The sequence below is a fragment of the Homo sapiens genome, chromosome 1, assembly GCF_000001405.40.
Source record: "Homo sapiens chromosome 1, GRCh38.p14 Primary Assembly".
Lineage (NCBI taxonomy): Eukaryota > Metazoa > Chordata > Mammalia > Primates > Hominidae > Homo > Homo sapiens.
Genome location: NC_000001.11, coordinates 14,509,680 through 14,525,971, shown reverse-complemented (window position 1 = coordinate 14,525,971; position 16,292 = coordinate 14,509,680). Strand labels below are relative to the sequence as shown.

The 16,292-nt window shown below is 44.1% G+C and overlaps 1 protein-coding gene across 6 annotated transcripts in view, besides 5 other annotated features; it reads right to left on the bottom strand.

The window, feature by feature from the left end:
• The window catches only part of KAZN (kazrin, periplakin interacting protein), a 1,225,220-nt gene that overhangs the window by 592,072 nt on the left and 616,856 nt on the right, over positions 1-16,292 (bottom strand). The window lies entirely within an intron of this gene.
• Positions 2,858-2,947: an enhancer, noted in NCBI's record as "active region_226". NCBI's record gives its function as "activates an Ori minimal core promoter by ATAC-STARR-seq in GM12878 lymphoblastoid cells {active_cell/tissue: GM12878}" and the evidence as "EXISTENCE:reporter gene assay evidence [ECO:0000049][PMID:35858748]".
• Positions 5,432-5,491: an enhancer, noted in NCBI's record as "active region_225". NCBI's record gives its function as "activates an Ori minimal core promoter by ATAC-STARR-seq in GM12878 lymphoblastoid cells {active_cell/tissue: GM12878}" and the evidence as "EXISTENCE:reporter gene assay evidence [ECO:0000049][PMID:35858748]".
• Positions 5,792-5,901: an enhancer, noted in NCBI's record as "active region_224". NCBI's record gives its function as "activates an Ori minimal core promoter by ATAC-STARR-seq in GM12878 lymphoblastoid cells {active_cell/tissue: GM12878}" and the evidence as "EXISTENCE:reporter gene assay evidence [ECO:0000049][PMID:35858748]".
• Positions 7,846-9,045: an enhancer, noted in NCBI's record as "CDK7 strongly-dependent group 2 enhancer chr1:14843423-14844622 (GRCh37/hg19 assembly coordinates)". NCBI's record gives its function as "activates an origin of replication core promoter dependent on BRD2, BRD4, P300/CBP, MED14 and CDK7 cofactors, with strong dependence on CDK7, by STARR-seq in HCT116 cells {active_cell/tissue: HCT116}" and the evidence as "EXISTENCE:reporter gene assay evidence [ECO:0000049][PMID:35650434]".
• Positions 8,429-8,698: an enhancer, noted in NCBI's record as "active region_223". NCBI's record gives its function as "activates an Ori minimal core promoter by ATAC-STARR-seq in GM12878 lymphoblastoid cells {active_cell/tissue: GM12878}" and the evidence as "EXISTENCE:reporter gene assay evidence [ECO:0000049][PMID:35858748]".

The following is a 16,292-nucleotide window of genomic DNA, read 5'->3' as shown; positions in this document are numbered from 1 at the left end:
CAAGTGGGGTTCTTTTGCTGTGAATAACACAGCTCTGAGATCCCAAGACCTTGGTTTAAATCCCAGGTATTCAGCTTCTTAGCTGAGATAGGAAAGTGACTCAAACTCTCTAAACCTGTTTCCCCATAGGATTGCACTGAGTATTAAAGAAATTCATGATTATCGAGAGCACTAACAGTAGCTAGCATAAATATTCATGCTATATATGCCATATTTTGATTCTTTATGGATTGAATTGACTTTTGTGGATTGATCTGGTAAGCCAAACAACATTTACAATCATTTTTTTTCCTATGGGAAATGCATTCTAAATTAAATATTGCAAACTGTGGCCCTTGGCCAAATCCAGCCTGTCACCTGTTTATGTATGGCTGGCAAGCTAAGAATAGTGTTTGCATTTTTAAATTGTTGAAAAAATCAAAAGGATCATAATATTGTTTGACATGCAAATGTTATATGAAATTCAAATTTCAGTGTGCATAAATAAAGTTTTATCGGAACACAAGCATGCTCATTTGTTTATGTGTTGTCTAAGTCTGCTTTTACTCTGCAACGGCCAGCTGAGTAGTTGCAACAGACACCTCATGGTTCAAAAGCCTCACACAGTAACTGGCCCTTTACAGAAAAAAGTTGGTAATTTATGTTCTACATGATAAAAAAGAAATTAATGCACAAACTACCTATTAGAGCACAGTTTGCATAATTGGCAAGCTAATTCTGTATGGCTGGCAAGCTAAGAATAGCTTGCTTACATTTGCACATTTGTACAATATGTACATTTACACTCTATTCTGTTACATACACATACATGCATGCATGCACATATTCAAACACACGTCCATACATATACATGGGACAACCCTGATACATATGTCCATGTGTCATCTGCTCTGAACCTGAGTGTCCTTCCTGGGTGAGCTGCTATCCAAAATCCATGCTGTCTTGCTGGCATCCTGCCCCACATGGGGTTTGGAGTAGATCACTGGTGTTAAATACATCTAGCCAAGGTGCAAATGTCTGGCTCTCTCCAGACCTTGCTGGGTCTCCAAAGAAATATATGAATATTTTGGCTTTTTCTTTATGGTAGATGATTTCTGTTTTCCTTATGGGCTTCCTTTGCTGGTGTTTTAAAGAACCTGTTCTCATCACGAAATCAGGCACAGGAACTATTTATCATACATATGAGAATCAACATGAATAAAACACCCCTTAGGTACTGTTCACATTTCTTTCAGCTTCTCACTCTTGAGCTGCTATTAAACTTTAATATACATGAAGTTTGCTGGGTTTTATGGAGTCGAACGGTGAAAGCACAGTCGTGGCAGACTGACATGCCTGGGGGGTTAAATTCATCCAGGTTGGCCATTAGATAATGAGCAAGTACCTTAATCACCATAAAATAGTGTTTAAAATATTGTTTATTTTTAAAAAATCAATTAGCGTCAAAGACCCTCAGAGTCAAAGAGAGCCTGGTGATAAATTGGTCTAATCTTTTGTTTTTAGAAATGAGACGGGGGAGTGGGCTTTCTCAAGGGCACAGGCTCCTTTGTGGAAAAGCTGGGTCTAGAATGTGGGTCATTGGCTCCAGACCCCTGACCCTGCCTCCATGCTTCCAGGATGTCACACAAACGCACACAAGTGACACACCTTCGTTGGGTGCGGTGGCTCATGCCTATAATCTCAGCACTTCGGGAGGCTGAGGCGAGTGGACCACTTGAGGTCAGGAGTTTGAGACCAGCCTGGCCAGCATGGTGAAACCCCGTCTCTACTAAAAATACAAAAATTACCCAGGCGTGGTGGTGCATGCCTGTAATCCCAGCTACTCGGGAGGCTGAAGCAGGAGAATCGCTTGAATCTGGGAGGCAGAGGTTGCAGTGAGCCGAGCTCACACCACTGTACTCCAGCCCAGGTGACAGAACAAGACTCTGTCTCATAAAAACAAAACAAAACAAAACAAAACAAAACAAAACAAAACAAAACGAGTGACACGCCTTTAAGCCACGTGGATATACGCTTTCAAAACAACACCTCGCTCTCCCTTAGCTATTCAATTTGACTGACATATGTGGCATTTTTATTCCATCTCATGTGTCTCTGCCATGTCTGTAAGCCCCCTTGAGCCCCTTCCTCAACATCATGGTCTCTGAGCCTTCCTGTGGCCACCAGCACATTCTGTGCAGCCCCAGGACCACATGGGAGGCTCATGGCCATTAGCTTCATGTACCATCGGATCAACCAGACCATGCTTCTTCCTGCTGTCACCTGCGTGGGAACACTGAAGAGGAAGTAAGGGATTCAGAAGGCAGCTGGAATGTACAAAGAAATATTGGCTTGGGAATGGAACTAGGAGAGAAAGTGAAGGAAGTGCTGGGATTCACTAGAGGGCTGCTGGTGATGGAGCAGCAAAAAAGCTGGGGAAGTGTCCCTCGTGGTAATTATTCATGACTTTGTGACATTTGCAGGGATGGGACACATTTGTATCTATTTGGGCATTGCTTTTCTTTATTTCCGCCCTTTCCATGTCTCTGGTAGGCCACAAGCTCCGAGCTGGGAGGCTCCAGGCAGGGTGGAGAGTTGGAGCTGCCCACTGGACAGCTCCCTTTCTGGCCTTGGTTTGCCAAAGCTTACAATCACAGAGGTGGATGGGTTTGGTGGAGAGGGAGCAACTCTGGGAGGGACATGAAGAGCGAGAGAATCTTTGAAGAAAAGTTTATTGCCCTGGACTGGGAGCCAAAAAGTATTCTGACAGCTAGGGGAGGCAGCACCCTGCTCTCTGGCCAGGCTCAGGGGGTTGGTGAGGATGCCAGTGGGGAAGGGTGAGGTGCCTCCCAGCCTCACCAAGATCCTGAAGCCTCCATGCCTGGTGTGGAAGCCGCAGCCTCAACCTGGAGGGACCAGTAGACTAGGACGATGAGTGTCTCCATGGCAACCAGTGTGGCCTAGTGACTCATAGCTCGTACATGCTGGGGAGTTGGGGGAATTACAGGCGGACAGGGAGCCCTCCCAGCACCTTGGTGCTAGAGAAAGACCCTCTGGGTGGGAACAGGGGCACCCAGAGAATCAATGAGGTGGAATTTCCTGCCTACCTGTTGGCATGGAGTAGTCACGATTGAAATTAAGCTGCTTGGAAGAAAATACAAAGATCTGATACTTGTCCCACGCCTGAGTTTATGACCTGTGATTCATTCATTCCTTCTACATCTGAAACACACACAAAAGATCTATATTTTCTCCGATGAGTTATACAACACATGTTAAGTATCCCGGTAATTGCAGATGCATTATCTATTGTGTTGCTGTAGGTACTGTCTGTATTCTACTGCTGGTGCCAGAGGATGGGCAGTCCACGTCAACACCCATTTGCATTTGTTCTTTTCTCGGGCTTTTTATTAAAGTCAGGCTTTAAAACAACACCCAGAATCATTGCATAATCCAAGAGACCAAATTGTACACATCACAGATGATGACGTGATTTGCAGGAAACCTTTTGGAAGAGCTGGCTCCTTGATAACTGTAATTGTTAGGCTCAGGATCAAATTAGGAGAGCAGAGGCAGCTGCACCAAGAAGCTGTATCTGTTCAAATCTCCCAAGCAAGCCTAGCTGTCACCATAAAGAGCAAACTTTTGCAGGCAACAAGACAAATCACATGTAGGTCTCAGAGGGTTTCTTCCTCTGAAGATGGGAGGCAGAACATATTTCTCTTTAAGTTAGGTCAGTTACAGGCATCTCACTGGGGAGAACGAAGACATTATACAGCCGTGCCTATGCCAGGAGAGAGAAGCAGAAAATTATATCTTACTTAATCAAGTTGATCTGGGAGCAGAAAAGCTCATTGGCAAAAGGCAGGGGACTTCTATGCAAGCAGGAGTGTGAGTGGCTTTCCTTTTTCTAATGTGTCTATGAAATTTGGTGGAGAGGGCCTGTGTAAAAGATTAGGAATAACAGAGCTCAATGTACATTCCCTAACACACATTTGGATGTATATTAGTAATCTCAAAAGTTCACATTCTTTCAAATTTAGCCACAGTACTCACTGAAATGTGCTGATGTCTCCGAAAATGAATTTTTTCCTATGGTGCACTTTTATCCACTTAAAAAATGTGATTTTTTGGTGTACATTTGCCAAAAATAATCAGTTCTGACCCAAACCATGATGTGGTAACTTGACCCCTAACTCAAGGTCGACTCAAGCTTAATCCTCAGTAACCACACTTCCTCCCTTTCCCCAGTTTTCAAAGAAAAGAGACGATTCTAAAACAGGATGAGGGCAACCCAAGGGCCCAGGCTGGTCTTTTACGGACTGTAGGCGGTTCTCAGTTCGCAGGTCTCAGTTCAAAGCCAGTTGCTTTGCTGGTTTCTTCCTTGAGTTGTTTCATGGCATCGGCCATGGTTCATGATTTCATGCAAAAGGTTCAATTAAAGATAGGCCAGAGCTTCAAAAAGCAAGGGCTTTTTCAATTTCTCAGCATTACAGGGTTCACATTTCACAGAAAGGCCTGGCCTGATTTAATCCTGAGTTCATAAAGCCGAAATTTACCTTTTTCTGTTTTTATCAGAAATTTTCACTTTGGCTCTGGAAGGTGGACACACATGAGCCATTTGGACAGCAGACCCAATTCTGAAGGGTTGGAGGGGCATAAATGCAGTGAGGGCGACATTTCTGTTTAAATATCACATTGGGCACACTGAGTGAAAAGAGATTTGGCTCAAGTGGTTATGGTGCCTCTTTAAATGTCAGAGTCCCTGCTGACTGGCGTTTTGGGGGCATCATCAGACCCCTGCCCCCAAGCCTGATCTTTATTTGCATTTCTCCTTACGTTGGCTGCACCCCTCCCTCAGCATCTGCCTGTAACACCCTGTGGCACATAGGACATCCATTACTCATAAGCTCATCTGGATTTTGTCTATTGGCTCTTCCAAGAGTGGGGAGTACTCGGATGGTTACTTTCTCTTCCTTTTCCCTCTGGATCATGCCACTGCATGCCTCTCCCTGCTCTGGCCTCTCATGGGCCTTCTTCCCAATAGAACAATGCCTTAGGGGAACCTGCCCTGCCCAGGGAATGGAGCTGGATGGATGAACAGTTTGCTGCAGGTGCTGGGATTATTCTGCTCCTTTGGTTCAGCTCTTTCATTTTTTAGTTGAGTCCGGTGAATCAGATGTTAAAACAAAACCATCTTTGGTTTAGTGCAAAAGAATTAAGGTTTGGGGGGAGTTTGGGAGGATGATCACAGGCTATTAATGGTTCAGTTCAGTTTCAGTCTCTGCCCAAACAGATACCAGGGAAATTCCCAGAGGTGGCTGCTTCCAGAGGCGAACCTTAGCAAAGCTGTGCTGAGCTCTTGCCTGGGCTCCTCAGAGCCTCTGCCCCCATCACCTAGTTATGCTCTTGCTTGGGCAGGAAGTCAGAGGAGCTCTCTTGGTTGTCCCATGAGCCACTGCTTTTTATGGAGATGGGCATTGGATTAGTGTGTGTGTTTTCATCTGCTATCTCCCCTCTTCCTGCTTTCTAGGTGCCTGGCATGCACAATTGTCCCCCAGGCTCCTGCAGCTTCAGTGCCTGTTTCTCTCTCATTCACATGGTGACCCCAACCCCTGTTCCTGCTTGCTACGTCTATCATGGCACCCCATGCCCACCCTTCTCGGGAGGTCTGTCTCCTCCATTGGGCTGTGGCCACCGGAGGAGAGAAATCCTGTGGCCATGTGTGGTCATTTCAGTTTCTTTGTTTCCAGCTTGGCCACACCCAATGGATCATAGGGTTGTATAAATGAAATGTCTGTGATTATGAACAAGTGCCAGGACTGGACACCACTGGGCCTTGTGTCATCCATGAGCCATACTGGCCTCATTTCCTGAAGATCTCTCTCTCCATCTTGACTTTTGTCTACAGGCTGTATATGTGACTGCTATGTGCTCCTTGGCCCCAATTATAAGGCGTCTTCTTGCCACCACCTATGGCACGATCTGTGCAATGGCAGGAAACACATGTGTGACAGATGCCTGGGCTCGTGGGAAGCATCCACAGCTCCCACACCATCATGGGGCCCTCTGGGTGCCTGAGGACACTCTATGTTCTGACTTCATGCTTGGCACAGGGAACCCTGTGAGGCCAACCCAGGCCTATCCACTTCTAGCTCAGACATTTCTCCTGCTGCTGGGTCATGCCAGACACATGGGACTCTGGGGATCCTCCTGCATCTCTCAGGTCATCCATGGGCTGGAATCCCCCAAAGTCTCTTGGGGTAATGCAGGGTCCAGGGTGCTCTGGCATCCACATTTTCTCTGTTTTCCCTCTTACTCTCTTTTCTTCCCTCCAGATGGGAGGATATTCACCACTTATGCTTTCATATCTCTCTCGTGCCCTGGCCTAGGCTTTAGAAACTCAAAAGTGGACTTTCTTTCTCCCAGGTCAGCTCTCTCCAAAGGCAATCTGTGCCACTGGGGGTAAGAAAAACTGGGAGAGGGGAAGAGCCTCAACTGAGGGAGGATACCCACGAGGGTAGTATCTGCCGCTCAGCACCCTCACTGTCCCTGACATGTATGCTGCTCTTGGCTGCTTTTCTCAGACAAGTCCTTTCTTTGTTTCTTTGCCTCTTCTCTTCTGCAACTTCTTCCTGTTTCTGGATTCTGCCCAAAGAACTGGCCTCGGAGGCCATCTAAAGCAAAGCAGAGGGTTGCTTTCTTTGCAAACTACAAAACTGCAGCTCAGTCCTGTGCCTTGGGCCCTCCTCTCCTTGCCTGTAGGGTCCATTTCAAGCTGTGTAGTCAGGGGCTATTTCTTTGATTCCAGAAACTTTTTGTTTTTATTATTTAAATTTTTTTTTAAAAATTTCCAATTATTTTAGAATCATAGGCAGTCCATGCTGAATGGGACTCAGGGACAGATTATTTCTAAACTCCGCTTCCCTTACTCCCTTCCTACCCCTCACCTATGGCTAAGGAAATGGTGGCCCAAAGAAGGCAAAATACTTGCCTCATTATTCAGGGTCCCTAGAGCAACAGGATCTCCGAAGTTGGGTCCCCATGCAGATGAAACTTGCCTTCCATCCCTGCTTCTAGCATTTTCAGATCTAGCACATTCCAATAAAAGCATCAGATTTGGCTCTCAAAATATTAACTACTAGCAATTATTGAGCACCTACGTGCTTGGCACTGTGCACAGCTCTCAAAATATAGTATCTATGTTGATTCTCCTAATAGCCTTGTATTTTCACCATCTTGCTGATGAGAAAATGGAGGCTTGATGGAGGACACACAGTGTGGTAGTGCTGGAGCCTGGACGGGAAGCCGGGCTGTTTGATGTCAGGGCAGGAGCTCCTACGAGCACTGTCACACAGCTCAACAGCAATGGGAAGGCTGTATTCATCAGCCCAAATATTGTAGATGAAGCGACGAGAGCAGATCATCTCTTCCTTGGCAAATTCATCACCTGGGACTCTAATCAGCTGACATTCCTAATGCTTTCTTACTTTTTCTTTAAAAATGATTTCAAACAGGCTGGGTGCAGTGGCTCATGTCTATAATCCCAACACTTTGGGAGGCTGAGGCGGGCGGATAACCTAAGGTCAGGAGTTGGAGACCAGCCTGGCCAACATGGCGAAATCCTGTCTCTACTAAAAGTACAAAAATTAGCTGGGCGTGGTGGTGCGCATTTGTAGTCCCAGCTACTCAGGGGGCTGAGGCAGGAGAATCGCTTGAACCTGGGAGATGGAGGTTGCAGTGGAGATTGTGCCACTGCACTCCAGCCTGGGTGGCACAGCGAGACTCTGCCCAAAAAAAAAAAAAAAAAAAAAGCCTTCAAAAAGACTCCAGTTACCAAGCATGGCTCTCTGATAATGACAGAGACTAACTACCCCATTTAACGTGAAAGGCCAGAGCAAATAAGTGGCTTGTTCAAGGTCCTGTAGCCAGTCAGTGGCAGACCTTGGGCTTGAACCCAGAACTCCAATCCCAAAAATGAGTGTAAAACACCCATCACTCATTCTGAAACAGACAGTAGGTGCTTGGCAATGTTAGCTTCATTTCCTGTACTCTATTTCCTTCTCATTGTTCCCAGGGGCTGAGCACACACTTACAGCTAAAATGGCTTATATTCTTCTGCTTTGTTTTATGGCAATGAGAAAATGTGGAGCCATCCATCCACTTCACTGCTGTTGAAAAATAATAACTGGATGATGTTCCTCTTGGCAGCTGTGTGGACCTGGTATTTAAGCAGCATCCTGTTCCAAAGAACTGCCCTTTAAAAAGAGATTAGGATTGCACATCCACTGTGTATGAGCTGGAAGATAAACAAATGTTCTTTTCTACCCAAATATTTCCAGCTTTTGCTCTAAGGTGTTTCTCATGATTGTAGCCCGACTTGTTGTCTGTGCAGGACTGGAAGAGCTTAAGCTCATGCTGTGAGTCACAAATGGCGCTAAGGCATGTGTTCCAGGCTTCTTATTGTCAGTTTGATTTCTGCATTAACCTTTTGGTTGGAAATGACTCAAACTGAGTAAGTTAGAACAAGGGATTTTTACTGGCTCACAAATTGGAAAGTCCAGGGGCAGATTTAGCTTCGGGTGTGGCTGGATCAAGGGGCTCTGATGTCATTCCCTGCTCTCTCTCATGATTTTTCTGCCCTCCTTTTCTCTGTGTTGGCTTTACTTTCTAATAGGCTCTCCCTCTTGGTGGTAAGATGATCACCAGCATCAGCAGCAACTTGCTTACATTCTACGAGCTTCACGATTCCCACAGAAAAAGAGAACTCTGTTTCCTAACACTTTGCATAAACTCATAGACTTGAGTCTCATAGCCTGGCATGGGTCACACGGTCATCTCTGAGCCAATCACTGTGGCCAAGGTAATGGAAAACACTGGTTGGCCAGGTGTAGGTATTATGCCTCTCTCTGTCTCTTTGCATCCAAGGGGTTGGGTCAGTTCACCTAAACCACTGTGACCTGCCAGTGAGAAGAGATGGTTCCCTAAAGTAAGAGCAATGTTTTATATCAGAAAACTAGTAAATGGGTACCTGGCAGGCAAAACAACCACCACTACAATGAGATTCTTTACTTCTAGGAGAACACAGATGATTTAAAACACACATTTTGTTGACTGCCTTTTCTTACCGAGAAAGTCTATGTGCAGAAATTGAAGGTGATAGAAAAGAAGAAGAAGGCTGGTTCTTGTTAGAGAAATGGAGCTGTGGATGGGAAAAGGACAGGAACCAATAGGTAAGGACTGATTTATTTTTCCCCCTTTGGAAATAGGAAGGGAGATGGCATGGTGCCTGCCCTCAAGGAGCTGACAGTTGGGAACAGAGTCAGAGCTTCAAACATACAAGACAAATACCTTGATACAATAAAATGACTCCAACATCAGTCACTCATTCATTGACCCTTGACTCAGTAAATATTTGTTAAGAGTCTGTTGTTTCTCGCAGAAGAGAACTCTGCTTCCTAACACTTTGCATAAACTCATAGACTTGAGTCTCATTAGCCTGACGTGGGTCATGTGCTCATCTCTGAGCCAATCACTGTGGTCAAGGGCATGGAAATGCTGGTTGACCAGGCCTAGGTCTTGTTCCTCTCTCTACATCCAAGGGCTTGGGTCAGTTCACCTAAACCACTCTGATCTGCCGGTGAGAAGAGATGCTGCTGATGCTGTTGATCATCTTACCACCACGAGGGAGAGCCTGTTAGAGAGTAAAGCCAACACAGAGAAAAGGAGGGCAGAGAGATCATGAGAGAGAGCAGGGAATGACATCAGAGCTGGTTATTTTGCTCTGTAACCTGCTCTAACCTTCAGCACCATCAAAGAAGCAGACAGAAAGACTAAATCCTGCTGTTTTTCAGTTAATTTACGTTCGACTTGCTGCTCAAGCGAAACACCTGAGAATTCAGACCAGAACACAGTTTCTAGAACCTGGTTGGCCAGGCAGTTGGAGTACCATCTTACTAATTTACTATTTTTCTGTTAAAAGAAAAATCTCCTGTTTAGGCCCTAGTGATACAGGAGTAAAGAAGGAGTAAAGAAGGCACACAGGATTTTGTGGTCTCATGGAGCTTACGTGAGACCATGCTGGGTCTAGGATTTCTTTTTAGTTGGGAGAAATGCAAAATAAGCAAGGGACCCAATGCATGAACAGAAGCATTTCCAGGAGAAGTAAGAACCATTTGAGCCATGAAGAAAACCAAGCAGACTGATAGGTTATAAAACGGCTGGTGGTGGAAGGGAGAGCCCTTTGGTCAAGCAGTCACAAAGACTTGGTGAGGTGGTAGTGGCTAAGACTTGAGAAAAAACAGCAATGAAGGTCTCATGGGGACAAGGGCTCCAGGGAAAGCCCCTAAGGCAGCCCCTAAACAGGGTGTGGCTGAGGACCAGAAAGGAGGTTAGTGGCCTGGAGCTCAGTGAGTGAGGCCGGGATGGTAGAACAGGAGAAGGATGGAGGGGAGGCAGAAGCCAGCTCCTGCATTGAAGATTCTGCTGCTTCCGGGTTTCCCAAGTGCTTTGTTTATGGGCCTGTGTGGTTCCCACATACGGTGGGACTGACAGCCGCTTCCATGTCATGAACATGCCCTGCTCCCATCCCTCCTGCTGCATTCACACTGCCTCGCAAGTATCAGGCATTCAGTGATTGTTTCCTACAGCGATTGGATTGGAATCCCAGTTATGCCATTTTCTAGCTGAGGAACATTGGACAAGTTGCTTAAATTCACGGTCCTCTCACTTGAAAATAGGATAATCTGGGTGTGTCGGGGGCTTTAAGGATTAAGCAAGATCATGTAGGAGAGAGTTGATAGCACAAGGTCATTAAATGTTCATTTTCCTGATTTCATTGGTAAGAGAGAGAATTATGACCTAGTGTCAGGTGGATTTAGGGAAAAATCTGTCTTCTAATTTTTGTCCATTCTAGAAGAACTGGGTACATGGGGACAAAGGTTTGGAAATGGAGCACAGTGTGAAATAAAAAGGATAAAAAGAGTAAGATGATCATAGAGGAATGGGATACTCTATGTGAATGATGACATCAGCAAAAGTCCCAGCCACTGTTTCTTTAGCTCACACTGTGAGCCACGGACTTTGCTAGGTCTTTAGCATATGTCATCTGACTTCATCCATCAACACAAAACAGTGTCCTGTATGGAACAACAATTGTATCAGGTGCATTGGTTTATTAGTTCCATTTTATGAATGAGGTTCAGGAAGGGGGCTCAGGAAGTTGAAGTCATTTGTCAAGACCGTATAACTAGTGGGTGGTTGACCCTGTATTTTTAACCATTATGCTACCTGACTCCCTTGGTGGAATTACTAATACAGGCACAGATTCTTGCTATACTTTTGCAATTTGAGATATATATATATATATATATATATATATATATATATATATATATAAAATATAAAAAAATATATAAAATATATAGAAAATATATATTTCATATATTATATATAAAATATATCTAAAATATATATTTCATATATTATATATTTTACATATATAAATATTTATATAAAATATTTATATAAAATATATATAATATATATATTTTGCAATTATATATATTATATATATATTTATATATTATATATATAAATATATATAATATATATATATTATATATATAAATATATATATAATATATATAAATATATATATAAATTTTTTGAGACAGAGTCTTGCTCTGTCACCCAGGCTGGAGTGCAGTGGCGCGATCTCAGCTTACTGCAAGCTCCGCCTCCCGGGTTCACGCCATTCTCCTGCCTCAGCCTCCCGAGTAGCTGGGACCATAGGCGCCTGCCACCACACCTGGCTAATTTTTTTGTATTTTTTTTTAGTAGAGACGGGGTTTCACTGTGTTAGCCAGGGTGGTCTCGATCTCCTGACATCGTGATCCACCTGCCTCGGCCTCCCAAAGTGCTGGGATTACAGACGTGAGCCACCACGCCCGGCCTAAAAAATATTTTTTTTCGGCTCAGCTGGTGCTTATGCCTCAAAAACTCAAATGTCCCTGACTTCAAATGGTTAAATATGTAGTATCTTTAAATGAGAAAATTAATGATATTGAATCTCAGAAATTTTTTTTTTAGAAATTAAAGACACCTCTAAGAATGATCTTCTAATTGTAGCAACCTGCTACATTAATGCGGAAAAACTCATTTACAATTCAGCTGTTAAATGACAAACCATTACCACCATTTTTATTGCTGTATATTCCCCTAACAAATTTATTATGTAATTACCCTCCATAACAGCAGCATTTTAGGATGTAAAGTTGAAATAAGGTCCCAATTTTAAAATGCTTACTATGATATGTTTTCAACATCTAGTCTGTATAAAATATCCGGCATTTAGGGCATGTTTTCTCTTTTGTTAATCAGAGCTCAAGAGACAGGTTTGCAATTCTTCTATTTCATGAATCTGATTCTCTTTGGCCCTCTGCTGTACCTTAGAAAGACGGAAAAAACTAGACCTAGAGATTCCCCGTTCTTTAGCTTGGCAATTCATTAGTCAGAAACACTCGTACACATAACACAAGCTTGTTGGGTTTTGTGATTGAGGATTATGAAAATGGCTGCTATTCCCAGCCACCCAGTGAGCCTGGGCCCAGGTTTAAACAGAAGTCTATCAACAAAAGAATGGGGATTTATCGGTAACTTGAGCAATTTCTCTCTGATGCTGCTTCTGACTGTGGGAGTCGGAGAAACCTCCCAAAGGCTGGAGGAGAGGGACCGGCTAACACAGAGGCTTAAGACAATAAGTTATACCACGCCTGAAGGAGAAGCCGGTTTGCCCTAATATCCTTTTCCTAAAGGCAGAAGAAATTGGACATGATTCTAAGGAAAAGGGCCAAAGGGAGTGTGCCTGGAGACATCCCCAAGCAGGCCAGCTTTCCCAAGGCTGTGGATAATGAGCTGGGGAAACCAAACTAGAAAGAGATCTTTTATAAGCAATCTCAATCATATGTGATATTTTGGAACCCTTTTTGTTACTTGGGCTGATGAGGAAAACAACCTGGTAAGGGAATGCACTCTAAACTTGCCTGCTTTTCAGACCCGAGAAAGAGAGGGACGCTACTTCTCTCAGCAGGAGAAGAGCCGGCCTGATCGTCCAAGGAAGGTGTCATCGGAAGAGGACCGTCCTGGTTGTCAGATCTGAATAAACCTGTACCTCTCTGCAAATACTGCCATGAATAGGAATGAGAAAATCTGCTCTTTGACTTTATCTCCATCTTAATTTCGCTCATAAACCCAGCAGGGTGGAATCTGGGCATAGAATGTGCCAGTGGGTGTCGGAACAGCAGCCGGCAGGCTGTGTTCTAGTGACCCCGGCGAACTGTGTGACCTTGGGGATGGGCCTTAGCTTTTCTGGGGCTTTATTTTCCTGCCTGTGAAATTAGGGAATTGGAGCTAGTTGGTGCTTTCTTGAGTCAGTAGATTTGCTAATAGGCTAATGTCCTGAATCTACCCATGCAGCCTAATTCAGTGGTTCTCAACTAGGGTTGGGGTGGGGGTGGGGGGGCTCTGCGCCACCCAGGGGACATTCGTCAACATTTGTAGACATTTTTGTTTGTCACAGTGGGCGGTGAGTGCTGCTGGCATCCCGTGGGTAGAGGCCAGGGGTGCTGCCAAACATCCTACAATGACATCCTACAATGCGCCCCACAACAAAGAATGATCCAGCCCCAAATATCAATAGTGCTAAGGTGGAGAAACTTTGCCCTCAACTACCAATTAGACATAAATTCACATCGTCCCTCCAAATTAACATGCGGCCACAGGAGATGTCCTGGACAAACTCCTTTCTCCTGACCCGCGAACACACAAATCATCCTAAGTGCTGTGGTCTACTGTGGATTCCTAGGGAGAAAGATACTCTATGAATCTCGTAGCATCTGAGAAGAAAGCTGGATGTCAACATGCATTTGTGCCAGTAGGGAAAACAGCAGCGTGCCCTCCACATTTTCTCCAGAAGAATTCCATCCTGACCTCCCTTTCCACCCCCTGAAAAATTCTTCCATGGCCTCCTCCAGCCGTGTGAGTTATGCATAGTGGATAAGCAGCTTTGTTTCAGTCTTTAGAATGCTGATGTTTAAACTAATGCGTTTATTTATGTTGAATGCAGCTTTCCACCCAGAACATTCTGAATTCTTCTTCCCAGTCTGGCTTTTTAGTACATGATTGTCGAAGCTGCTGGTTTCCATTTCCTGTGTTAACAAGATCTGACTTTGTGGATCATTTAATATTTATCCAAAATATTTGATACACATATAATAACATAATCACTCAGTCCCTTAGCCTGACATGGTTGCATAAGCACCTACCAGGTTTGAAAATCTACATTGTTCAGAATATGTTGTCCGTTAGTATAATGTATTCCAGGGCATAGATTTCTTGCCAAAATAATTCTGCCCGGTGAATGATAAATGTGTTGTGATTATTTCTTCTGCTTTTGTGAAAGCATACAGTAGGGATAGTGTCTTGAAAGCTATACACAGATCAGTGGGACACAGGGCTTCTTTGTTTAGTTCTGCCATACTTAGAATTTGTTCCCTAAATTCTTTCCCCAAACTCTCTTTTACTAGTTTCTACTCCCTGAAGTGATTGGGGCTGGCAATGGAAGGCTGTGTTTAGCTAATAAATTCTTCTTGGCTCCAATATGTGTCTCTCTTAGTTAAGCCCACAAGAACTTAATGAACTGTTGTGTCTCTCCTGGGTAAAGTTTGTTGTAGCTCAGGTTTAAAGCAACCTCATCTTTCAAAACTGGCTTGACAAATGGAAACATCTAGAGTCTCAGCTGTCTGCTATTTCTGGTTTCCAACAGAGTGAGTGGAAATGAATGAATATCACATGCAACATAGAAACTGGGACCACCCTCCCACCCCCCGCAGATAACTCTAAAGCCCATGGTGTTAATAATGTAAGTGGTCAACTTGTACAGTATTGGTGAAGGTTACAGAATTGAGGAGGATCACCAATGGCCACCAAGATTAATCATGTATCTTGAGCGACGAAGAGACCTCTTGGTCTAGTTAAGACAACTTTGACATCTAAGAAGCTTCCCTAGGCATAAAAAGCAGATGAGAATTTGCTCTTGAATTGTTCAGAGTCATCCTTGATTTTCCAATTTCCCTCTGTCCATACCTCCCAGTCCATTAGAAGCTCTGTTGAGTCTGCCTCCAACGTGTATCCTGCATCAGTCTACTCTCTGAGCTCACAGCCACCCCCTAAGCCAAGCCATCATCATCCTTTGCCTGATCAACATTGACTCTCTCTTGCTTCTTCTCTTTCTTCACCACAATCCATTTTACACACAGCAGCCAGGATAATCTTTAAAAAATGTAAATTAGTTCATGTCACTCCCTGCTTAAGACCCTTCAATGACTTTACAGTGTTCTCAGAATCAATTCCTGAGAGAGCTCACTATATAGCATTGCCAGATTTAGCAAATAAAAGTACAGGATACACAGTTAAGTTTGCATTTTAGATAAACCATGAATACCTTTGTTTTAGTATAAAGTATATCCCATGCATATTTGGGACATACTTATACAAAAAAGATTTTGTTGCTGACCTATTTGTTGCACTGAACATCCTGTTTGTTTTTTTTTTTTGAGATGGAGTTTTGCTCTCGTTGCCCAGGCTGGAGTGCAATGGCGCCATCTCGGCTCACTGCAACCTCCACCCCCTGGGTTCAAGCAATTCTCCTGCCTCTGCCACCCGAGTAGCTGGGATTACAGGCATATGCCACCACGCCTGGCTAATTTTGTATTTTTAGTAGAGACAGAGTTTCTCCATGTTGGTCAGGCTGGTCTCAAACTCCCAACCTCAGGTGATCCACCCACCTCGGCCTCCCAAAGTGCTGGGATTATAGGCCACTGTGCCTGGCCAAGTCCTGTATTTTATTTGGCAACTGTACTCACCGGAGATCTATGTCTGGCACCACCTACTTTTCTAACTCCATCTCACACTTGTGTCCCTGTAACTTGCCCCAGCAACACTGGCCTTCAATACTAAGCCCTTTCTGACTTCTGAGCCTTTGTACTAATGAATCCTTCTGGAATGTTATTTCAGCTTTTGCATGGCTTGCTCCATCTCCTTCTTCAGGTCTCTGTTCAAATATCTCCTCCTCAGAAAGGCCTTTCCTGATCTCTCTATCCAAAAAGGGCCCTTTCTCCATCCTTCAGACCTCTATACCGCATCACTCTGTTTTGTTTTCTTCATAAGATGAGTGTGTATTTATTTTTCATCTGCTTGCTTGGTTTTTGCCTCTTCCAGGAAAAGGGGGACACAGCATTGTCTGTCTTGTTTAC